At 39.5% G+C, this 26,211-nt stretch overlaps 1 protein-coding gene across 1 annotated transcript; it reads right to left on the bottom strand.

Annotated features, from left to right (window-relative positions):
- Positions 1-1,950: 1,950 nt before the first annotated feature.
- ZNF716 (zinc finger protein 716) lies at positions 1,951-25,333 on the bottom strand. The gene is made up of 4 exons (NM_001159279.1): positions 25,183-25,333; positions 12,924-13,050; positions 12,342-12,437; positions 1,951-6,786 (listed from the first exon to the last, which is right to left on the bottom strand). The coding sequence occupies exons 1-4, from the start codon at positions 25,219-25,221 to the stop codon at positions 5,561-5,563; spliced, it is 1,488 nt and encodes a 495-aa protein (NP_001152751.1). The 5' UTR covers positions 25,222-25,333; the 3' UTR covers positions 1,951-5,560.
- Positions 25,334-26,211: the final 878 nt, after the last annotated feature.

Here is a 26,211-nt window from a genome sequence, read left to right as displayed (position 1 = left end):
CCATATGGCTGGGGAAGCCTCAAGAACCTTACGATAATGGGAGAAGGTGAGGGAGAAGCAAGTATCTTCTTCACTGGGTGGCAAGAGAGAGGGAGAGCAGGAAAAATGACCACTTATAAAACCATCCGATCTCATGAGAATTCACTCACTGTGAGAACACCATGGGTATCATTCTGCTCCTGGCCCCTTCCAAATCTCATGCCATTTTATATTTCAAAACCAAACATGTTTTCCCAACAGTCCCCCAAAGTCTTAACTCATTTTAGCATTAACCTGAAAGTCTAAGTCCAAAGTCTCATCTGAGACAAGGCAAGTCCCTGCTACTGATGAGCCTGTAAATCAAAAGCAAGTTAGTAACTTCCAAGATACAATGGGGTACAGGCCTTAGGTAAATTCTTCCATTTCAAATGGGAGAAATTTGCCAAAACCAAAGAGCTACAGGCCCCATGCAAGTTTGAATTCCAACAGGGCAGTCAGTAACTCTTAAAGGTCTGAGATGTTCTCATTTGACTCCATGTCTCACATGTGGGCCACGCTGATGCAAAGGGTGGGCCCTCATGGCCTTTGGAAGCTCCTTCATGGACTAGAATTGAATGCCTGTGGCTTTTCCAGATGCACAGTGCAAGATCATGGTGGATCTGTCATTCTGGGGTCTGGAGCATAGTGGCCTTCTCACAACTCCAGCAGGCAACTTCAGTGGGGACTCTGCGTGAGGGCTCCAACCCTACATTTCCCTTCAGCATTGTCCTATCACAGGTATTTTATGAGGGCTCTGCCCCTGTAGAAGACTTCTGACTGAATATCCAGGCATTTTTATACATCATCTGAAATCTAGGCAGAGGTTCCTAGAGCTCAACTCTCGTCTTATGTGCACTCACATGCCCAACACTGCATGGAAGACACCAAGGCTTGAGGATTGCACTTTCTAAAGAAATAGCCCAAGCTGGGCCTTGGCCCCTTTTAGCCACAGCTGGATGTGGAGCAGCTGGGATTAGGGCACCAAGTCCCAAGGCTTCACAGAACAGTGGGGCCCTGGCCTCAACCATGAAACCATTGTTTCCTCCTATGGCTCCTGGTCTGTGATGGAAGGACCTGTCTCACATCTTTGACATGACCTGAAGACATTTTCCCCATTGTCTTGGCTATTAACATTGAGCTCCTTTTTGCTTTTGCAAATTTCTGCAGTGGCTTTAATTTCTTTCCAAAAAATGGGTTTTTACTTTCTACCTCATGGTCAGGCTGCAAATTTTCCAAACTTTTATGTTCTGCTTCCATTTTAAACAGAAGTTTCTCATCTCCATCTGAGACCACCTCAGCTAGGACTTTATCATCCATATCACTATTAGCATTTTGGTCAAAAGCATTCAACAATCTTTAGGAAGTTCCAAACTTTCTCACATCTTCCTATCTTTTTCAGAGCTCTATATTACTCTGTTTTCACACTACTATGAAGATACTACCAGAGACTGGGTAATTTACATAAAAAGGAGGTTTAATTTACTCACAATTCTGCATGGCTGGGGAGGTCTCAAGAAACCTACAATTATGGTGGAAGGCAAAGGAAAACAAGCACCTTCTTCACTAGGCAGCAAGGGAGAGGGAGAACAGAAAAAAAAAAGCCACTTATAAAACCATTGGATCTTTTCAGAACTCATTATAATGAGAACAGCATGGGGGAAAATTACCCCCATGTTCCAATCACCTCCCAGCAAGTCCCTCCCTTGACACGTGGGGATTACAATTTGAGATAAGATTTGGGTGGCAAAAGATTTTACAGTAATGAATTCAATACAAGGCACATAATATAGATTTTGTTTTCAGAATATGAGGTTTCCAGGTTTCTAGTTAATTATCTACCTTATTAAAATGATCTTTTTGTTTCAATATTGTTCTTTTGTGAAAATACATAAAAACTCACACAAACACAATAACTTGCTACATAACTTTCTTATGCTTAAGGTATATCTTTTATTTATTTATTTTTTTTTTTGAGATGGTTTCTCGCTCTTTCACCCAGGCTGGAGTGCAGTAGCACCATCTCAGCTCACTGCTACCTCCACCTCCGAGGTTCAAGCAATTCTCCTGCCTCAGCCTCCTGAGTAACTGGGACCATGGGCATGCACCACCATGCCCAGCTAATTTTTTGTATTTTTAGTAGAGATGGGGTTTCACCATGTTGGCCAGGCTGGTCTTGAACTCCTAACCTCAAATGATCCTCCCACCTCAGGCTCCCAAAATGCTGGGAGCCACTGTGCTCGGCTGGTATATCTTTAGAGTAATATATTTGTATATGTAACTCTATGTAAATTGAAACTAAAAGTCTGTTTTTGTTTGTCAGCAGAGATGCCACATGTGCAAAAAATTTATAAAACAAAATTTTAAAAATATTTAATCAAGACTCAGAAATGTATGGGTATTAATTATACTCATGTAATTTTTATGATCATAAAATGACCCTGTGGTTAATAGTAATTCAATTGCACATATTGAAATAACTAAAACTGTATAATGGGATTGTTTGTAATACAAAGGATAAATACATGCTCAAGGTGATGAATGCCTCATTTACTCTGTTGTGATCATTAAATATTATGTGCATGTGTTAACATATCTCATATATGCCATAAGTGTGTATGCACACTACCCACAAAAATTAAAAAAAAATTAAATAAGGTAAAAAAGTACAAATTTGTCCTATGGGAACAAAATTCTTCAACTTGTTTGCTGTGTAAAACCTCTAGTAGGCCAGGCATGGTGGCTCATGCCTGTAATCCCAGCACTTCGGTACACCGAGGTGGGTGTATCACCTGAGGTCAGGAGTTTGAGACCAGCCTGGCCAACATGGGGAAACCTCATCTCTACTAAAAATACAAAAATTAGCCAGGAGTGGTGGTGCCTGCCTCTAGTTCCAGCTACTTGTGAGGCTGAAGCAGGAGAATCACTTGGACCCAGGAGGTGGAGGTTGCAGTGAGCTGAGATCGCACCACTGCACCCCAGTCTGGGTGACAGAGTAAGACTTAGTCTCAAAACAAACAAACAAAAACACTGGCAAAAAAGAGACTACTAGTGATGTCATTCCCCTACATTAACAAATAGTATATTGTCACCATCTTTTACGCAGAACCTTAAGATGAGACACGATAGAGTCAATGGCAGCTTAATACTTCTTTCAAAGCACAATAGTTTTAGCTCATTAAAAACAACTTTGTTTACATAAAGGTACAATTGATAAAATAATTTACTACTGACGTTCAAAGGTTTTCCTCACTAGAATTTAGAATATTACTCTGAACGCTCGCCTTATACATCACTAAAACAATGTTATAAGTCAACCACAAAGAACCTCTCCATTTAGATTTTCATTATGCATCTTACAACTTAATGTCCTTACTCATCCATAGGAAAGTTCATGAATAATGGACACCTATAAAAAACAATCTCATATCTCTGATTCAACAATTGGTCCAATACTTTCACAGAAACAATGGGAAGAAAGGATCAACATGAAGTAATTTGAAATGTGAGTTACATTACTATTTGCTTTTCAGAAAATCTATATTTTTTTTTACAAAGAAAGAAGCATACCTCGAATGTAATTATAAATCTCCAAATAAATCTACTTCTTTAAATTTATATTGTTAGATTTATATCTTTTTTACACTCAACACTCTGATTTAGTGTAATGTCTGAAGTTTCAGCACCTTCATTCTTTCTACTGTGAATCCTCAAATGTTTATGTAGACTTAATTTTTGATTAAACATATTTTCCCCATTTACTGCATCTGCAAAAATATTTTTTTAGTATAAACTAGTGTTTTCTAAACTGTAGTTTTTGAACAAATATTTTTTGACATTCATTTACACTTTCTCTCCAATATAAATTCTCCGATGTTCAACAAAGTTTGAGCATCTGTTTCAGGGTTTTCCTTTGATATAAAATGTGTACAATAAAATCCGTAATACAAATAAAGGTACTACACAATCCTCTTTATGTTTTAATGTTTGTCTTTAGAATAAATAGTCTTTGCTTTAAAGGCCTATGTTTTCTGAAAGGTCTTTTTACAGTAATCACATTTACGCTTTTTTTTTTTTTTTAAGATGGATTCTTGCTCTGTCACCCAGGCTGGAGTATGGTGGGGTGATCTTGACTCACTGCAACCTCCACCACCTGGGTTCAAGCAATTCTCCTGCTTCAGCCTCCTGAGTAGCTGGGATTACAGGTGCACACCACCATGCCTGTCTAATTTTTGTGTTTTTAGTAGAGATGGGGATTCACCATGTTAGCCAGGCTGGTCTTGAACTCCTGACCTCATGATCCACCTGCCATGAGCTCCCAAAGTGCTGGGATTACAGGCATGAGCCACCACATCTAGCCTATAATGCTTTTGTTAAGTATAAACTTTCTGATATTGAGTAAGATGTGAACAGACATTAATGGCTTTTCACATTCTTTATATTTTTACAATTTTTCTCTAGTATAAAAGGCTTCCTGTGCAATAAGATGGGAAAATTTGTTAAAAGTTTTGCCACATTTTTCATATTTGCCTGAGTTTTCTTCAGTATAAATTATCTTACCTACCATAACATGCAACTACCATTTAAAGGACTTACCTCATTTAACACATTTCTAGAGTTTTTCACCAGTATGATTTCTCTATTTTAGAAAAATGTCAGGTGTGGTTAAATGCTGTCACATTTTTTATGTATGTAGAGTTTCTCTCCAGTATAAAATATTTTAATTAATAAAGATGGAGAACCAGTTAAAAGCTTTGCCACATTTTTTTTTTTTTTTACAATTGCAGGGGTTCTCTCCAGTATCAATTATTTTACATTTATTCAAACAAAAAGTTTGAGGACTTTTAAAAGACATTTCCATATTCCTTATTGTAGGGTTTTTCTTCAGTATCAATTCTTTTAGTGTATAATAAGGGTTCAAGACTAGGTAAAAGCTTTACCACATTGTTTTTGTAGGGTTTGTCTCTAGAATGAATTATCTGATATTGTGTAAGGCCTGAGATGTGCTTAAATGTTTTGTCACATTTTTGACCTTTGTAGAGTCTCTCTAATATAAATTCTCTTAGGCTTTGGGAGGCTGAGGCAGGTGGTTCACCTGAAGTCAGGAGTTTGAGACCAGCCTGGTCAAAATGGTGAAACCCCATCTCTACTAAAAATACAAAACTCAGCCAGTGTGGTTGCACGTGCCTGTAATTCCAGCTACTCAGGAGGCTGAGGCAGGAGAATCGCTTGAACCCAGGAGGCAGAGGTTGCAGTGAGCTGACATCGTGCCACTGCACTCCAGCCTGGGTGACAAAGTGAGACTCTGTCTCAAAAAAATTTTTTTAAATAAATTCTCTTGGGTTCATTAAGGTTTGAGGGGTGGTTAAAGGCTGTTACTTTTTTTTTTACATTTATAAGACTTTTGTCCAATATGAATTATCTTATGGACAGCAGTGGTTTGGAACTGGTTAAAGAATTGGCCACATTCTCCACACTTGTAGTGATTTTTTCCAGTATAAATTATTTTATGTATTATAAGGCCTGAGGGCTGGACTTTACCACATTATTCATATTTGTAGGGTTTCTCTCCAGTATGCATATTCTTATGATTAGCAAGACTTGAATGCCACTTAAAAGTTTGGTCACATTCTTCACATTTGTAGGGTTTCTCTCCAGTATGAATCCTCTTATGAGTATTTAGAGTTGAGGAGAAGGTAAAGGCTTTCCCACATTCTTTACATTTGTAGAGTTTCTCTCCAGTATGAATTATCTTATGTTTCTTAAGGGTTGAGGAGCAGTTAAAGGCTTTGCCACATTCTTCACATTTGTAGGGTTTCTCTCCAGTATGAGTTCTCTTGTGGTAAGTGAAGGTTGAGGGTAAGCTAAAGGCTTTGCCACATTCTTCACAAGTGTAGGGTTTCTCTCCAGTATGAATCCTCTTATGAGTATTTAGAGTTGAGGAGAAGGTAAAGGCTTTCCCACATTCTTCACATGTGTAGAGTTTCTCCCCAGTATGAACTATCTTATGTTTCTTAAGGGTTGAGGATAAGCTAAAGGCTTTGCCACATTCTTCACATTTGTAGGGTCTCTCTCCAGTATGAATTCTCTTGTGGTTAGTAAGTGTTGAAGAGCGGCTAAAGGCTTTGCCACATTCTTCACATGTGTAGGGTTTCTCTCCAGTATGAATTCTCTTGTAGTTAGTAAGTGTTGAGCGGCTAAAGACTTTGCCACGTTCTTCACATGTGTAAGGTTTCTCTCCAGTATGAATTCTCTTATGTTTAGTAAGGGATGCAGACCAGCTAAAAGCTTTGCCACATTCCTCACATCTGTAGGGTTTCTCTCCAGTATGAATTCTTTTATGTCTAGTAAGGGTTGAAGAGCAGTTAAAGGATTTGCCACATTCTTCACATTTGTAAGACTTCTCCCTAGTATGAATTATCTGATGTTGATTTAGGCGTGAAAGCATGCAAAATGATTTGCCATCGTTTTTACATTTGAAATGTTTCTTTCCAGTATGTCTTGTCTTGTGTCTATTGGAATTTGAAAATTTACCAAAGACTTTGACGCATTTATGAGTCTGAAATGTTTTGTTTTGGGTAGCTGACAAACATTGGTTAACATAATTATAACCTCCTTTGTGCACCTCACACTCACCTACACTTTTACAGCATTTTTTTACTTGTAAATCCTCCTGTCCACATTTTCCATATCTTCTCAGTATCACTTTTTGGAGTGAATCTTTTATGCCCTGCTCTGACTGAAGGTCTTGGGTGAAATGAGAACATGTAACTGAAAGACATAAAAATCACAAGTTTCTCCACTTACTACACTCAGATAAATATATTTTGCAAATCAAATATATAAAATTATACAAAGTACATTAGCAAAATGGCATATCAAAATACCACAAGCCGTAATTCCTTCATAGATGTATAAATGTAACAAAATAGTAGTGATCAAAATACCTTTGTGGGAAATTTATAAGTAAGGTAACTGTGGGCACCAGGTGGGCACAATGCCAAGAGCCATAGAGAGACAAAAGAAAAGTCTGCTACATTTACCCAACACAGCCCTTCCTCATCCCCACTAGAAGAACATGGTGTCTTTAGGAGCAAACTGGCTTTTATCTCAAAAGAAAAATATTGGCACCTATATCTTTACTTTTGGCTTATGGGAGCCTTTCTCTCTTCCATGACAGAAAGTGCTGAATGAAATGCTGGTATACTTTGAAATGACACCTTTAAGTCTTTTGAAATCAAAAGTGAATGTTAACAACAGCAGAAAGACTGCTGTACCATGGACAGAAAACAGGTGTAGAAAGTAGTTACTGACTGCTAAGAGGAAACATGAAGAAGTCTTTTAACTGAAAAATAAATACAAAATTGCAGACAAGACACATCCTGAGAACATGTTTGAAAGACTCCGAGAATCTCTAGCCAAGACAATCGGTTTCAGGCTATGCCAGGAAAGAGCTGCATTATAAAGATCGTGAAAGGTAGTTTTCCATTAATGTCTAAATCTCAACCAAAGATTATTATGTTTATAAAATATTAGGGCAACACGGTCCAATCAAAAAAATAAAAAATTTTGAAAAAGAAACTATTAAGCTAAAGATTTATATATTAATTTTAAAAATATAAGATAATCCATATTATGCTCAGTGAGAGAAATGCAAAACTAGATACCTAAATAATATCAGAAAAATAAGAATATCAACAAAAGCTTGGAATAATAAAAATAAACAAACGTGTAGGTAAAAGAAAATAGCTGAAAACATTTAATGAAGAAGCTAAACAAACAAACTAGGATATACACAGAAAGGTCCATAACACATATTCATGCAAAGTTTCAAAAGTCACAAACTAGAAGATAATCTTGGGAGCTGCAAGATAAACGTGAGGTATTATTTATAAGCATAGTCCCCTGAGACAACTAGTGAATTTGTCAACAGAAACCTTGCAGATCAGAAAAAAACGTGCAAAATGGTCAAAGTGCTGAAAAAAAATCTTCATGGTGAGAATAATATAACCAGCAAACACGTACTACAAAATAAACAAAAAATAAAGATCTTCCAGAATAAACCAATGCTGGAAAAGCATATAAGCACTGCATGTGCCCTAAATAAAATGCTGAAAAGAGGTCCTTCCACTTAAAATTACATGATGAAAAAAATACATAACTTTCTGAAAAACATATGCATCTACAAAAAATAAAAGTCTGTGGCATTATTGTGATCATGCGGAAAACATTTTTAGTTGTTCTTTAAAATTTGAAAGATATAAGCATAAAAATAATCAAAAAACATAAAAAGATATAATTAGTGACATTAATAAGACATATGGGATAGATATAATGAGAATAAATTTTTCTATGCAACTGAAGTCATTTTTTTACCAGTTTAAAATATACTGTTGTAAATTAAGAGGTTTTCTAAAATCTCCAATGTAGCACAAAGAAAAAATCTTTATAGACACACAAAAGAAAATGAATCAATTACTAGCATGAGACAAATATCGATATTATTGATATTGATATTATATAATGGTAAAATGAGCCCATTTACTAGGAATCTGTAACTATTATGTCTACATATATGTATATGCATATATAATATCAGGGCTTCAAAATATATATTTATATACAGCAAATATTGACAGAAATGAAGCAAGAATTAAAATAGCAGCATAAAATTACAAACATTAAGATCTCATTTTCAACAAAAAAATTCAAATAAAAGATCAATTAAAAAAACAGAAAATCAGAAGAACATAATATAGTGTATTAATTCATTCTGCATTGCTATAAAAAATTGCCTGAGACTGGGTAATTTCTAAAGAAAAAGATTTCTTTGGTTCACTGTTCAGTAGAGTATACAAGAAGTATATGCCAGCATCTGCTTCTGGTGAGGATATGAGGAAGCTTACAATTATAGTGGAAGGCAAAAAAGAACCAACCATGTCACATAATGAAAGATGATGCGAGTGTGAGGTGGAGGAGCCAGGTTCCTTTAAGCAACCAGCTCTCATGTGAATTAATAGAGTGAGAACTCTATGATTACCAAGGGGATTGTGCCAAGTCATTCATGAGGGATTTGTCTCCATGATGCAAACACCTCTCATTAGGCCCCACATCTAACACTGGAGATTACATTTCAACATGAGATTTGGAGGGAACAACCATCTACACCATATTATAAACCAACTAGGCTAAACAGACATATGCAGAACTCCCCAGTCAATATTGCGGTTGGACACACAATATTCTTTTTTATATATATATTTTCATAATATGTTGTTTTTAATCATTTTTTAAAATTTATTTATTATTATTATACTTTAAGTTTTAGGGTACATGTGCACAATGTGCAGGTTAGTTACATATGTATACATGTGCCATGCTGGTGTGCTGCACCCAGTAACTCGTCATCTAGCATTAGGTATATCTCCCAATGCTATCCCTCCCCACTCCCCCCACCCCACAACAGTCCCCAGAGTGTGATGTTCCCCTTCCTGTGTCCATGTGTTCTCATTGTTCAATTCCCACCTACAAGTGAGAATATGTGGTGTTTTTGGTTTTTTGTTCTTGCGATAGTTTACTGAGAATGATGATTTCCAATTTCATCCAAGTCCCTACAAAGGACATGAACTCATCATTTATTATGGCTGCATAGCATACCATGGTGTGTATGTGCCACATTTTCTTAATCCAGTCTACCATTGTTGGACATTTGGGTTAGTTCCAAGTCTTCGCTATTGTGAATAGTGCCGCAATAAACATACGTGTGCATGTGGACATGCAATATTCTTATTTGCTCCTGGTGCATTCTGTTAGAACTCATAAGTCTTAGTAAATTTCAAAAGATCAGCCAGGTGCAGTGGCTCACAGGTGTAATCCCAGCACTTTGAGAGGCCGAGGTGGAAGGATCACTTGGGGTAAGAAGTTTGATACCAGCCTTGGAAACACAGTGAGACCGTCTTTACAAATAGTTAAAAATTAGCTGGGCATGGTGGGGTATGTCTGTAGTGCCAGCTACTCAGGAGGCCAAGGTGGAATGATTACTTGAGTACAAGAGGTTGAGGCTGCGGTGAGCCAAGATTGTGCTACTGCACTACAGTCTGGGCAACAGAGTGAGAAACACTGTGTCAAAAAAAAAAATGTAAGAAGAGCAAAATCATACAGTGTATGTTTTCTAACCAAAACTGAATAAAAAGAAAAAAAGTATAACTGGCAAATCAAAAATATATGGAAATAAACACACTCTTCAATGTATTCTTGCCCAGGGTTAAATATGTCAATTTAATTCAACATTTTTGCTCACGGGTCAAAATACTTAATTGATATCTTAATTTGCTAAGGTGTTAAGATAACCCACAGTGGTGAACAAATTTAATATAATCTGTATCAAAATTCTAAAAGTATATTTATTACTAAAATACTATTTAACATTTTTAAATTTTATTATGAACTATAGCTAGAGAAACACACATGAAAAACACAGAGGCATTATACTTCATAATTTCAAATCATAATAAAAAGCTGCAACAACAATAACTATGTGGTATTCACATAAGGACAGATAAAGACATGATAGAACAAAATAGGGAGGCCAGCAATGAACTCTTCTGTGTATGACCAAATAATCTGCCACAGGGTTGCCATGAGCAGACAATGCAGAAAATAAAATCCCTTCAACAGACAATGTTGAAAACTGGATATCTACATTGAAACAATGAAGTTGGATGTTTTAATTACATCATATAAAAAATTTTTTCAACAAAATACTTAGACTGAAAAAAAAGTAACGAAACTCTTAGAAAAAAAATATAGTGGAAAGACAGGACATTGGTCTTGGCACCATTTTCTTAGATATGCCATCAAATGCTTGAGCAACAAAGAGAAGAACAGAAAAATTTAACTAAATTTCAAACTTTCTGCAATCAAATACAACATTTAATAGAGTGACAGTGCCACCCAAGAAATGGGTGACAATATTTGAAAATCACATGTGATAACAACACTTAATATTGAGAATACATAACTCCTAGAACTAGAGAATAATAATTGAATTACATGATTTAGAAATGGACAAGTGAGCCGGGTGCAGTGGCTCACGCTTTTAATCCCAGAACTTTGGGATGCTGAGCTGGGCAGATCACCAGAGGTCAGGAATTCAAGACCAGCCTGAACAACATGGCGAAACTCCATCTCTACAAAAAATACAAAATTAGCTGCACATGGTGGCACATCCCTGTAAACCCAGTTACTCAGGAGGCTGAGGCAGGCGAATCATTTGGATGTGGGAGGCAGGGGTTGCCATGAGCCAAAATTGCACCATTGCACTCCAGCCTGAGCAACAAGAGTGAAACTCCATCTCAAAAAAAAAAAAAAAAGAAAAAAGAAATGGACAAATGATTGAACTACCTTTTAATTTAAAAAGATATACAAATGGGAAGAACTATTTGAAAGGTTGCACAAAATTAATAATTTATAGAAAAATGCAAAACAAAATCACAATACAAAACAAAAAAACAAAATTACCTTGCATCAATTAGGATGGCCACTATAAATTTTTTAAAAACACAAACTATGTTGATGATGTAAAGCAATTGAAACCTGTGTAAGCTGTTGATGAGAAAAAAAGACGCAGCCATCATAAAAAATATCATGAATGTTTTTCAAATAATTAAAAATGAAATTATCATACAATAAACAATTCCATTTATGAATCTATGTCTAAAATATGCAACACAGTAACATGAAGACATAAGAGGTACCCTGCTTGCATATTCCCCCACAGCAAGTCTCATAACCCAGCCTCTAAATAAATAAATAAATACATGGATAAAAATTTAAAAATAAAAAAATTGTAAAAAAAATTTATATGTCAAGGCTATAGTAATAAAAACAGAATGGCATGTGCAGAAAAATGGACAACCTCCAATGAAACAGAAACTACTATTCTCACACATTTGAGTCATGATGCAAAAAAGAACTTTAAAAATGGTTTCACATAGAGTTTCTCAAAAATGTGCAGATATTTGTGTGTCCCCAAAAGCAATGGCAAAGCAGTCAGTTTTTGCAGTCCCTTATAAGCCATAAAGAAAACTTTAGCTCGCACTATGAACTTGAAGGAAGAATACTAAACCGAAAGTAGAATCCTTAGAGAATTTAAAAGCATGGAGTAGAAGGTGTCCCTATGTAAGCATAATAGAAAAAAATGACTCTGGCTTCTCAGAAACTCTTCCATCGAAGTACAGCTCCCCAGACCACATTTTAAGGACTGGCTTCCTCCTTGACTTTTGTAACTCTCATCTGTGTCATCTGCTTCATTCGCTCTCACCTACCTGGGTGTTTGGCTACCATCTCATTTCTCTTTATATTCTGGGGCTCTTTATTTTGCTCCAGACAGGTGATCAAGTCTGGCTTAGAGACAGCAATACCTGTTTTATTAAGGAAAAAAAAGTAACATAAATCTGGCTGAATTCTTTAATTACCAAACAAGTATTATGCTTAGTAAAGAGGATATGATAGAAAATTCTAGAAAATTAAGATTGATTCGTAACAGATCTTTGTAGCTATTTAGAAAATACTTTAAATTTGTAGGTCCTTAATTTCACTATTCAGTGCTACTGAATCAAAAATTGGTGGTAGGAACTGAATTCTAAATTGTGGGCAATGATATTTTATGCCACGACAGTTTTGGAATTGCCACTAACCAAGAGCAAAAGATACATAAGCGCAAGAAAGGGAAAAGTTCAGGTCAAGATAAAACATCTTGAAGAATTTGCTATATACCAATGAATCCCCAAGATTTTCTTAAAACTGGAGAGCTAAAATTCATTCATGCAAAGCAGAAATTACCAAAATCATCTTAGAAAAGAGAGAAAGGCAATATATTAGGAATTGTGTATTGAAGTTTTCCTCACCCAGGGAGACCAGGTTTCTGTAGTTCTCTAACATCACATCTCTATATAAATTCTGCTGAGCATGATCCAGGCATTGCCATTCCGCCAGAGAAAATTCTATAGCTATGTCTCTGAATGTCAACAGTCCCTAAAAACAAAAAATAAACAAACAAAAAAAACACTCATGAACACACAAACAGTTACCATGTTGCCATAGGCAGAGATTTTTATTTGACTCATGTTAAATAAGAGAGTAAAAAGAAGTGGTTCTGACTTGTAAGAGTGACTAAAATTATTCATTAAGATAATGTTTAACATGGAAGTATTCTCTAACTGAGAAAAGAGGATAGCATAAGATCCACAATACCACTGTAGATATGATACTTTTCTGGGTGATGAATTATAAAATTAAGGGCATCAATATGGACATGTCTTTTTTTTTTTTTTTAAACCGAGGCTCACTCTGTTGCCCAGGCTGGAGTGCAGTGGCGTGATAATTGGCTCACTGCAACCTCCGCCTCCTGGGTTCAAGTGATTTTCCTGCCTCAGCCTCCTGAGTAGCTGGGACTACAGGCATGAGCCACCATGCCTGGCTAATTTTTGTATTTTTAGTAGAGACAGGGTTTCACAATGTTGGCCAGGCTGGTCTTGAACTCCTGATCTCAGGTGATCCACCCACCTCGGCCTCCCAAAATACTGGGATTGCAGGCATGAGCCACTGCACCCAGTCGGACATGTCTATTTTTGAGTGCTATATTTACGTCATACAGAATAAGTTATTTATATTTCTCAGGTAGAACATTCATGATGAGTTGGAAGGTTCCTCTTAAGTCTTAATATGTGCAATAAACTAAAGATCTTATACAGATTTTGTTTCAGGAGATTTGGGATAGAGTCTGAGTTTCTGAATTTCTAGCAAGCTCACCAATGTTTCTAGCCTAGTAAGAATAGTTTGTCAAACATCTAGTAAATGGCAGAGTCTGGGTTCTTCCCAGTTTCTCTCACCTGTAAATAAAGCTAAAAGCCTTCATTTTTAAAAGACAAATATAGATGCAAAAATCATCTAAAAAGAAAGGACAGCTTCCAGATTAAATGTGATGGTTTATGTACTTCAGCTAGTAAATGTCCTAAGTGTACTTAATAATTAAGGGAATAATAATTAACTCTATAGTAGAAAAAATGCCATAGAGATCTTGAGCCAAGTGAATAAAATTGTTATCAACTGTACTGGGACACATTTTTATTATGTGCTGATGCACACAGGACGCAACATCACTGCTGTGGTATTTCTTTCCTCCCAGAAAAGTAAATTGTAACTATATATATTTTATGAGACAAAATCTCTCTTTGTCACCCAGGCTGGAGTGCAATGGTGCTATCTTGGCTTACTGCAAACTCTGCCTCCTGGGTTCAAGCGATTCTCCTGCCTCAGCCCCTGAGTAGCTGGGATCACACGTACACGCTACCATGCCAGGCTAATTTTTGTATTTTTTTTTTTTTAGCAGAGACAAGGTTTCACCATGTTAGCCAGGTTGGTCTCGAACTCCTGACCTCATGTGATACAGCTGCCCAGACCTCCTAAAGTGCTGGGATTACAAGCGTGAGCCACTGCACCTGGCCTAAATTTAATTATAAAAAAAAATCAGTTTTCTGCAAAGTTGAAGATACAGATAACTTCCCTGCCTGTAATTTTTAATAGTAATTTTAAGTAGTCTTTCCTTAGCACCCTGGAGAGCAAGTATCTCCTAACAGTTTTTAGAACTTTCTGGGTAATAAATGCCATCCTGTTTAAATGAGCGTTACCTGTTCTGCATGGAACTAATAGAGCACACAGATGAAACCTCAACATGACATGTTTCACTTTTCACTAATACCAAAGACAACTGTGTTTCCCCAAAGAAATATTGAGTATCCACACCTTCTCATGTTCAACAGCTACAATAGGAACATTTTAAATATTGCAGGTCATAAATTTGTGGTGAGAATTCTGCATGGATACAAGAACCCGAGATGAAGAGAATGTATAGAAGGCTATGGTATACAGAAAAAAAATATTTTTTTCAGAACCCCTTGACTATCATAAAAATAAAAAATAATTGAAACAAACTCATTAGGGATAACAACACAAGTAGAGAAGTAAAAATTTGCAAGTTCCGAACACATGGCATTCCAAAAGGCAGAGTGGACGCTGCCTTTTTTTTTTTTTTTTTTTTGAGACACAGTCTCACTCTATCACCCAGGCTGGAGTGCGGTGGTGCAATCTCAGCTCACTGCAACCTCCACCTCTTGGGTTCAAGCGATTCTACTGCCTCAGCCCCCTGAGTAGCTGAGACTACAGGTGCATGCTACCACTCTCAGCTAATTTTTGTATTTTTAATAGAGATGGACTTTCACCATGTTGGTCAGGCTGGTCAGGCTCGTCTCGAACTCCAAACCTCATGATCTGCCCGCCTTGGCCTCCCTAAGTGCTCGGATTACAGGCGTGAGCCACCGCACCCGGCCTGAATGCTGCTCTTGATCTGAGACATGCTCACCTGAGAAAAAGTGATTTTTTTTCTCTTCCTCCTCTTTCCCTGAAATGCATTATCAGATGAGATGCTCTGGAACATATCAAACCTGCATCTTGAGAATATGCCTTTAAAGCACAACCTATTCACCTGCTACCACCACACACACCCACGGGCAGAAAGACCGAGACTTGCAGAAAACATTCACCCATTTTTGTTGTTAATAACTGAAAAGATTTAAGAGCAATGAGAGAAGAACAAGCTTCTCCATAACTATTAAAATATGTTTCTTTTTCCCCTGCCCTCCCCTATCAGACACCAGCAATGTTCTTTACAGTAATGGGAGCATGAACCGCACTGACCTCTTCCTACCAAACTGAAACAGGGCAGGCAGTGCAGCCTTCCTTTGATGCAAAGGTTGAACTAAACTCTCATGAATGTATCTTGAACCCCTCAAGTTTATAAATCACTTGGTAATCTTGGCCCTGCTTTATGCAATGTGATTCTGCGGGATCCAAAAGGGTCCAGGAATGGGCTTTTTCAACAAGTCCCCTGTAAATGCTGATTGTGCTTTCGCAGACACATTATTAGCATTAGCAAGAGAAAGCAGGCACAGAAGAGTCCCTTACACATACCACATTTGTCACAATACTAATACTTCTGCTACAAATAAAGACAACTAATCTCCATTCCAAAATATTATATTTTTTGTTGGCTTTTTTAAGTTTACAGAGACAACAGAAGACAGCAATGTCTGAGTGAATCTGCACTTGGGAAACCTGTACACATGTACTAAGCAGGTACTGTGTGCTCAGGAGCATGTCACAGAACACTGTGCTGGGAATAACACATTTTGTGATTTAATTTTCATAGCACCCTGGGAGCTGGTACTAAGTGTTGAATAATTTTTAGCATTTAGATTAAGAGCACAGCATTTTCATTTCTTCTTATGTTTATCATTAATTTTAAAAAGAAAATGTATAGGATAATTCAATACAAAAAACATGTGAAATGATACAATTACATAAAAATTGAATAATCAGCTTCCAAATGGCTATTTTGTAAATAATGAAATTAAGCCAGAAATAAAAAAATTTTGAAACTAATTAAACCTGAAATACAACATACCAGAAGCTCTGGGTTACAGCCAAGGCAGTGTTAAGAATAAAAAGTATATCACTAAACATCCACATCAACAAGTTAGAAAGATCTCAATTTAAAAATCTAATGTTAGAATTAAAAGAATTCAAAAAGAGCAAATCAACTTCAAAGATCACAAAAGACAAGAAATAACCAAAATCAGAGCTGAAATGAAGAAGGTTGAAACATAAATATTTATAGTTAAATAACTATTTATAAATAACTATAAAAAGCTCAATGGGCCGGGCACAGTGGCTCATGCCTTTAATCCCAGCACTCTGGGAGGCCGAGGTGGGCGGATCACAAGGTCAGGAGTTCCAGGCCAGCCTGGCCAACATGGTGAAACCCCGTCTGTACTAAAAACACAAAAATTAACCGGGTCTGGTGGTGGGCTCCTGTAATCCCCGCTATTCGGGAGGCTGAGGCAAAAGAATCGCTTTAATCTGGAAGGCAGAGGTTGCAGTGAGCCAAGATCGTGCCACTGTACTCCAGTCTGGACGAAAAGAGTGAAACTCCATGTCAGAAAAAAAAAAGAAAAGAAAGAAAAAAAAAGTTCAACAAAACCAGAAGTTGATTCTGGTGAAAGATAAAACACTACACTAACAAAGAAAAAAGAAATAATTCAAATAAACACAGTCAGAAACCAGAGGTTTGTGAGGTTGTGAAGAAAGGGAATGCTTATACGCTGCTGGTGAGAGTATAAATTTGTTTAAACATTGAGAAAAGCAGTTTGACAATTTTTCAAAAACCTGATAACAGAATTACCATTTGACCCGGCAACCCCACAATTGGGAATATACCCAATGAATGTAAGTTATTCTACCATGAAGACACATGCACACATATTTTTATTACAGCACTATTCACAATAGCAAAAACCAGAAATAAATCTGTATGTCTTCAATGGTAGACTGGATAAAGAAAATGTGGTACATAAAGACCATGAAATACGATGCAGTTATAAGAAAGAACAACATCATGTCATTTGCAGCAACATGGATGGAGCTGAAGACTGTTATTTTTAGAAAACTGGTGCAGGAGCAGAAAATCAAATACTGTATGTTGTCACTTATAAGTGGGAGCAAAATAATGAGAACATGTGGACAAAGATAAGAGAACAACAGACTCTGAGGCCTCGTTCAGGGTGAAGGGTTGGAGGATGAAGAAAACCAGAAAACAAATCTGTTGGGTACTATGCTTACTACCTGAGTGATAAAACAATCTGTACACAAAAACTTTATGATATGATTTTACCTATACAACAAACCTGCACATGTACTCCTGAACCTAAAATAAAAGGTAAAAGAAAAAAAATGTGGCTGGGTGTGGTGGCTCATGACTGTAATCCCAGCACTTTGGAAGGCCGAGGCGGGCAGATCACCTGAGGCCAGGAGTTCGAGACCAGCCTGGCCACCATTGTGAAACCTGTCTCTATTAAAAATACAAAAATTAGCTGGATGTGGTGGCACACACCTGTAATCCCAGCTACTCAAGAGGCTGAGGCAGGAGAATCGCTTGAACCTGGGAGGCAGAAGTTGCAGTGAGCCAAGATCACACCACTGCACTCCAGCCTGGGTGACAGAGCAAGACTTCATCTCAAAATAAAAAGAAAATTCATGGGTGGGAAAGGGTGCAAGGTAAGTGGTAAGACTGGTTTGTGCCACAGACGTGCTACAGACAGTGGTCCATGTGGGGCTATACTCTGATTTAGTCCTGTGTCCATGCAGGCAGATTAGACTATGATCAAGTGGTATAGACCCCTACATTGGTGGAGGAAACAGGTTGCTGCTGCAGATTCAGTGTCTGGGGTTGGGGATATGCCAGGAAACTTGTAGGCACTTTGGTGGGATTTTGGCAAGAAACACTAAAAGCATAAGTGCTGTGGTGGAATTCTTGAAGGTGGTGCCTAGTCCCGGGAGGGGTGTGGATGCATCAATGTCTAGTGGGTCTGTCTGTGAATGCATGAGAATCATGTGGTGGCAGCTCTGAAAGGAGGAGGTCTGTTATCACAATTCCTTTTCTCTAAGTTTTTAGTCCCCTTTCACCCTGAGAGGAGACCTAGAATCACAGGACAGTGTGCAGTGTGACAGCCTGTGTGCAAGAGAACAGAGACTCCCCTTACCAGACATCCAGAGTCCCCCTCCAGGCCAGGCCTCTGTAATATCTCTTTTCTGACACCAAATCTGTGGAGTTTGCTAAATACCAAGCAATTTGTTTTTTTTTTTTGAAATGCAGTCTCACTCTGTCGCCCAGGCTGGGGTGCAGTGGCACGATCTCGGCTCACTGCAACCTTCACCTCTCGGGTTCAAGTAATTCTCCTGCTACAGCTTCCTGAGTAGTTGGGATTACAGGCACCCGTCACCATGCTCGGCTAATTTTTGTATTTTTAGTAGAGATGGGGTTTCACCATGTTGGCCAGGCTGGCACCATGCAAATTTTTAACACCAACTTGTTGTCCAACATTTCCATCCTGATACCACCCGGAGTCAGCACAGACCATAATTCAGAGCTCAGTCTCATCATATTGCCCTTACTGCACATGCCTGTCACAAATCCCAGGGACCCATCTATGCTTCTCAGCTACTGTCTGTAAACTGGAGACTCCCATAATCTCCCTTAAGTTCAATAATTTGATAGAGATACTCACAGAATTGAGCTAAACCCTGTACTTACGTTAACCAGTTTACTATAAAACATGCAACCCAGAAGCCGGGCGTGATGGCTCACGCCTGTAATCCCAGCACGTTGGGAAGCCGAGGTGGGTGGATCATGAGGTCAGGAGTTCAAGACCAGCCTGGTCAAGATGGTGAAACCCCATCTCTACTAAAAATACAAAAATTAGCCGGGCATGGTGGTGGGTGCCTGTAATCCTAGCTACTCGGGAGGCTGAGGCAGGAGAATCTCTTGAACCTGGGAGGCGAAGGTTGTGGTGAGCCGATATTGTGCCACTGCATTCCAGCCTGGGTGACAGAGTGAGACTCCATCTCAAAAAACAAAAAACAAACAAACAAACAAAAAAACAAAAAAAACCATGCAACCCAGAAACAGTCAAATAGAAAAGAAAAGATGTACAAAAAAAAAGTTTGGGAAAGATGGGGCATATAGATAATCCTGGTAAATAGCTGTGATTAATAAAATTCCCCAGCCAGGCGCGACGGCTCATGTCTGTAATCCCAGCAGTTTGGGAAGCTGAGGCAGGTGGATCACCTGAAGTCAGGAGTTTGAGACCAACCTGGCCAACATGGTGAAATCCTGTCTTTACTAAAAATGCAAAAAATAAGCCAGCTGCAGTGGTGGGCACCTGTAATCCCAGCTATTTGGGAGGCTGAGGCAAGAGAATTGCTTGAATCCAGGAGGTGGAGATTGCAATGAGCTGAGATTGTGCCACTGCACTCCAGCCAGGGTGACAGAGTGAGACTCTATCTCTAAATAAATAAATAAATAAAATTCTCCATCCTTTGTGGTCTTCACCAACAGCTTAAGAGAAACATTTTTTCCTATTATGACTTAGATGGTTTTGTATTTTCTTACTTATCACATAGCCAGATATAGATTCTGGAAATTTCCACTTCTTTCTTATAAAAGAATCAGCTAAATACTTTTCTTCAGTGGCCAAAATATTTTTTAATCAACTTTGCTTAAATTTTTCTCTTCTCCCAGGGCTCCTGACCTTTGAGTACCTTCAGTCTGAGCCAACATACAACCCCATTTTCTGTCTCTCCTTAAGAACATGCTGACTTCAGGGTAAAACATTCTCTGATCTAGAATCTAATTTTGCCCCCTTCTATCATACCATTCTTACTTCATCCTCTTTCTAAACTTGTTTGCTATTCTCTATAAAAGAAAGTCCTTGTCTGCCTATACATTGATACCCTGAAAAATCTTACAGTTGACACTTTTTTCTGTTGTTGGGATTCAGAACTTTTTTTTTTTTTGAGAGGGAGTCTTGCTCTGTCACCCAGGCTGTAGTGCAATGGCGCTATCTCTGCTCACTGCAAGCTCCGCCTCCTGGGTTCATGCCATTCTCCTGCCTCAGCCTCCCAAGTAGCTGGGACTATAGGTGCCTGCCACCACGCCTGGCTAATGTTTCTGTATTTTTTAGTAGAGATGGGGTTTCACCGTGTTAGCTAGGATGGTCTCGATCTCCTGGCCTCATGATCCGCCCGCCTCGGCCTCCCAAAGTGCTAGGATTACAGGCATGAGCCACCACTCCCGGCCGGGATTCAGAATTCTTATCTAAATCTGAATATCTGAATTTGCTTTATTTTACAAAGTCCAGAAACTGCCCCAAAACACCTTTATTTTCAGTAAGATCCTCCCAATTCCCATCCATTCTAACCCTAACTACATCTGCCTGTGGGTCCCCAGGTTTCCCTGCCTCTGTTGCTTATCTCAGTATAAAGGCTTCTTCCATGGCTGGAGTGAGCAGGCTGGGACATCTGCAGGGAAGGCTCCCTAGAAAGAACTGACTAGGCCTTCAATAATCTCCTTTTGCAGGCTCCATATTGCTCATAGCTTGGAGTCACAGGGCTCAGGCTTTAATTTTCAAGTCAGAGATGTTCACTTAGTTTTAGAAATTAAGTGGTGATAAATCCAGAAAAATTACTGAAATGCAGTGTTTATACAAGGGAAAAATTTTTAAGGTGCTTACATTTTATAGCTCAATAAGAAAAGCAAAAGTATCTATCTCTTTCAGACAATACACATATCATTTACTTATTTCCATAAGAGGACATTCAGTAAACATTAGTAATATGAACAAACTTCTAGAAGGTGCCCAGTCCCATCTCATAAAGTTTAGCATAAAATTCAGAAATCAAGATAACAGGGCCAGGAGCAGTGGCTCATGCCTGTAATCCCAACAATTTGAGAGGCACAGGTGGGCAGACCACCTGAGGTCAGGAGTTCGAGACCAGCCTGGCCAACATGGCAAAACCCCATCTTTACTAAAAATACAAAAATTAGCCGGGTGTGGTGGCGGGTGTCTGTAATCCCAGCTACCTGGGAGGCTGAGTCAGGAGAATCACTTGAACCCGGGAGTCGGAGGTTGCAGTGAGCCAAGATCACACCACTGTACTCCAGCCTGGGTGACAAAGACTCGGTCTCCAAAATAAAAATAAGACAACGGATGTAGAACACAGGTTTTACTGTCACATATTAATTTTGCAAAAAGAGAGACTGATGTTTTGATGAATCTATGTAATTCCCCAGTTATCTCACACATTTTATTGTGCAAATGTATTCATTTCCGACAGCCATAATGGAAGAGACATTTTTCATATTCTCTCCCTTGGTAATATTCGCAAAGCTAAGCCTTAGAATACTGTGTGAAATCACACAGCCAAAAAATAACACACCTGAGAAAATTTCTACAGTTACTCTGAGAAAGAAAAGGGCAAATGTGAATTTTTAACCAATAGAATACATGACTACATTTTTTTTCTGAAACTTCCCTCTTTTATGCCCTTTGTAAATATTTTCTTACATATTGAGCTCTACTGATAAAATGCAATTTACAGTTAACTAACTTAAGTCGAAAGAAGTGAAACTATCTTTTCAAGGTGACAAACCCAGAGAGTGGCAGTGCTGATTGGAACAGACATGTCTGACTCATGTGTCAAATCAAACCGTCCAATCACTTGAGAGAGTCTCCCATGCGCATCCTGCTCACTGAAATGCTCAAGGACAACCACTCCAGGAGACACTGCACTGTGCCCTCATGAGTTCCCCAGGTGCAATTACTTTGAGATTCTTGCACCATCTTATTGGGGTCAGGTTTTTTTGCCTTTAGGGGTAGTTTTCTTCCCTTCACAAATCTGACAGAATCCAGAGGGCAGAAATTACTTCTGTGTTTTTCTCTCAATACCCGCATCTGATTGGCTGACCAGCAATATGTCTCCATGAAACCAAAGCTGAGTTAGGTAAAGATGATTCTAGTGTCCCAAGGGATTAGCATTTTACAGGAAGAGTATACCAGGAGATCACTCTCAGCCCCAGGCATCCATTTGCTCTCTTGGAAGGCTACACTTCATACCGCATGCTATTCTCAAAAAGAAAATAACTCAGGGGATGATATTCACTAGACACTCCAGCAGACACGGCCACAGTAGGTATCTTGGTTTATCCCCAAGCAGTACTAAGACCCAGAACCAGGAAAAACCTTAAGTGTGGCTGAAGAAACATTACCCTGTAGGGTTTCCCCCAAAAAAACTCAACCCACACATTATGATGTCTGTGCTTGGAGAAGACAAAAGAAGAGGCACAGAGATTTTTTACAATACAGTGTCAGAGGCTTAATCTCTGCTTTCTTTTTTTTTCTTTCTGAGACAGAGTCTCAATCTGTTGTCCAGGTTGGAGTGCAGTGGCACCATCTTGGCTCACTGCAACCTCCGTCTCCTGGGTGCAAGCAATTCTCCTGCCTCAGCCTCCTGAGTAGCTGGGATTACAGGCACTCACCACCACGCCCGGTTATTTTTTTTTGCATTTTTAGTAGAGATGGGGTTTCATCATGTTGGCCAGGTTGGTTTCCAACTCCTGACCTCAAGTGATTTGCTCGCCTCAGTCTCCCAAAGTGCTAGGATTACAGGCATGAGCCACCGCGTCCGGCCCCTGCTTTCTTCTTATGTGAAATATTTACAAATGGGAACTTTTTTTCCCATTTGACATTGAATGACACTTTTAAAGTGCCATCCAATGCTTTTAAAAAAAATAATTAATGTAAGTACTGTGTCTGAAACATACAAGAAAGGACAAATAGATAATAATATGAGTTAGAAAGAAAAGTTGACATTTGGGAATGTCACAAAAACTGAAAATTTAATATTTTATTGCAAGCCAGAGTTAGTCTGTGAGAACAGAATGGTTGACTTAAGACCCTGCTTAAGACACAGCTGAGGAAGGGCATGGTGGCTCATTCCTGTAATCCCAGCACTTTGGGAGGCCAAGATGGCCAGATCACCTGAGGTCAGGAATTTGAGACCAGCCTGGCCAAAATGGTGAAACCCCATCTCTATTAAAAATACAAAAATTAGCCATGTATGGTGGTGTAGGCCTGTAATCCCAGCTACCTGGGAGGCTGAGGCAGGAGAATCACTTGAACCCAGGAGGTGGAGGTTGTAGTGAGGCAAGATCACGCCACTGCATTCCAGCCTGGGCCACAGAGTGAGACTCCATCTCAAAAAAAAAAAAAAGAAAGAAAGAGTTGAAAAACGCAGGCTGGGTGTGATAGCCTATTCCTGTAATCCCAGCACTTTGAGAGACAAAGGTGGGCAGATCACTTGAGGCCAGGAGTTTGAGACCAGCCTGGCCAGCATGGCAACACTCTATCTCTACTAAAAATACAAAAATTAGCCAGGCATGGTGGCGGGTGCATGTAATCCCAGCTACTCAGGAGGCTGAGGCAGGCGAATCACTTGAACCCAGGAGGCGGAAGTTGCAGTGAGCTGAGATCACACCACTGAACTCCAGCTTGGGCAACATTGCGAGGCTCTATCTCAAAAAAAAAAAAAAAAAAAAAAAATCCAAGGGAAAACCAATTTCCTGTGGGGTGTAAAAATATTTAAACAGCAGCCAATTAGACTGAGGTGGATTGATTCTTCTCGGCTCTCACTTAAAAAAAAAAATCTATCTCAAATGTATCTCTTACAGCTGGGCACGGGGGGATCACGACTGTAATCCCAGCACTTTCGGAGGCCAAGGCAGGCGGATCACTTCAGGTCAGGATTTCAAGAGCACCCTGGCCAACATGGTGAAACCACGTCTCTACTAAAAAACAAAAGCCGGGCGTGGTGGTGGCAGTCTGTAATCCCAGCTACTCCGCAGCCTGAGGCGGGAGAATCGCCTGAACCCGGGAGGGCGGTTGCATTGAGCTGAGATCGTGCCATTGCACTCCAGCCTGGGCAACAGAGCGAGACTCCCTCTCAAAAAAAAAAAAATGCATTTCTTGGAAATTACTTTCTTGAAGAAAAATATTCAGGCCTAGTCAACCACAGACTGCCAATTAATCTCTGATGACATAACCAAGCCATTTTCACCTGGATCTTACAAACAAGGAAACTACCTAACTGTACCAAACCAATTATTTAATCGGGTTTGCTTCATCATGAAACTTATAACAAACTTTCCTTCAAGTCTCTCCCATGGATCACAACCCACAAACCATAGCTGGGCGCTCTAAGATTCTTGAATCACACTTTGATTCAATTCTCTGATATTTTTACAGCGACTCCCCATACATCTCTAAAAGAAAAAATGAGGAACTAGGGACCCCAGGGAACACAGCTCTTTCCACTCACGAATCCTGCACCCTAAGTCTGGATTCTTCCCTGATGACTTTCCCATCCCTGCACAGTCTGGGTGAGATGAGGCGCTGGGAGTGTAGAGCTGCCCAGAGAGGGCTCCAGTCCAGGGCAAAGCCACTGCAGAGGAAAAAGACAGAACTCCCAGGGTCCCAGCCGCTGGCCCAGGCAGCATCTTAACGCTCGAGGGGACTAAGAGCCGAGCTGGGACAAGGAGGATTTGGGTCCTCAGACTCCGGAGCTGACTGCGAGGAAGTTTGGGTCCTGCTACAGCCACTTTCAGTCAGTTCCAACCAGCCCCCACCCCTCTCTCACGGTGACAGACCCAGCACTCACCATTTCTCGGCTTCCAGGGGGTCCCGGTCTTTTAGCCATAAATCTGCGAATACTTGCAGGACACAAGGCCACAGAGGCTTGGCCTCCAGGAGCAGAGGACGCAGAGCAGTGAAGAGAAGGACTGGAGCTCTGGGCGCAGAGAAGCAAAAAGAACCCGTAACCTTACGGAAGCGTCCTGTTCTCTCCCGCTGCATTCCTGATTGGACAGTTTCTATTTCACGGCCCCTGATTGGATAAGGTTTGAGGCCCCACCCTTCATGCCCTGAGTGACGGAAAATTTGATCAGACACTGGGCTGAATAAAGCAAAAGTAACAGGTTAGGCTGCAGCCTTTACAGCCAAGGCTTCTTCCCTGATCTGAGCCAGGCCAACCCCAGAGGATACTTGCATTTAACCTTGTGTATAATGTCATATGCATTTATAAATGATATATAATATAGTTATTCATAAATTGAAAAAATATAAAGAATTATTTTACAATTTCAGATTTTATGACCTTCCTTGCTGCGGATCCTTTGCAGTGATATGGTTTGGCTCTGTAGCTCCACCCAAATCTCATCTCAAATTTTAATTCCTGGCCGGGCGCGGTGGCTCACGACTGTAATCCCAGCACTTAGGGAGGCCGAGCGGGGAAGGCGAAGGCGGGAGAGGGGAGGGCGGGGGGCGGGGAGGGATCACTTGAAGTCAGGAGTTCGAGACCAGCCTGGCCAACATGGTGAAACCCCGTCTCTACTAAAAATACAAAAATTAGCCAGGGTGGTGGCGGGCGCCTATAGGGTCAGCTACTCGGGAAGCTAAGGCAGAAAAATCACTTGAACCCAGGAGGCGGAGGTTGCAGTGAGCCGAGATCGCGCCATTGCACTCCAGCCTGGGCGACAGCAGGGAGATTCTGTCTCAAAAAAAAAAAAAAAAAAAAATTGTAATTCCCACATGTCAGGGCAGGCACCGGGTGGGAGGTGACTGGATCTTAGAGAGGGATTATCCTCATGCTATTCTTGTGATAGTAAGGGAGCTCTCAAGATATCCGATG

The sequence above is a fragment of the Homo sapiens genome, chromosome 7 (genome assembly GCF_000001405.40).
Source record: "Homo sapiens chromosome 7, GRCh38.p14 Primary Assembly".
Classification (NCBI taxonomy): Eukaryota; Metazoa; Chordata; class Mammalia; order Primates; family Hominidae; genus Homo; species Homo sapiens.
This window is presented reverse-complemented; position numbering and strand designations above follow the sequence as displayed.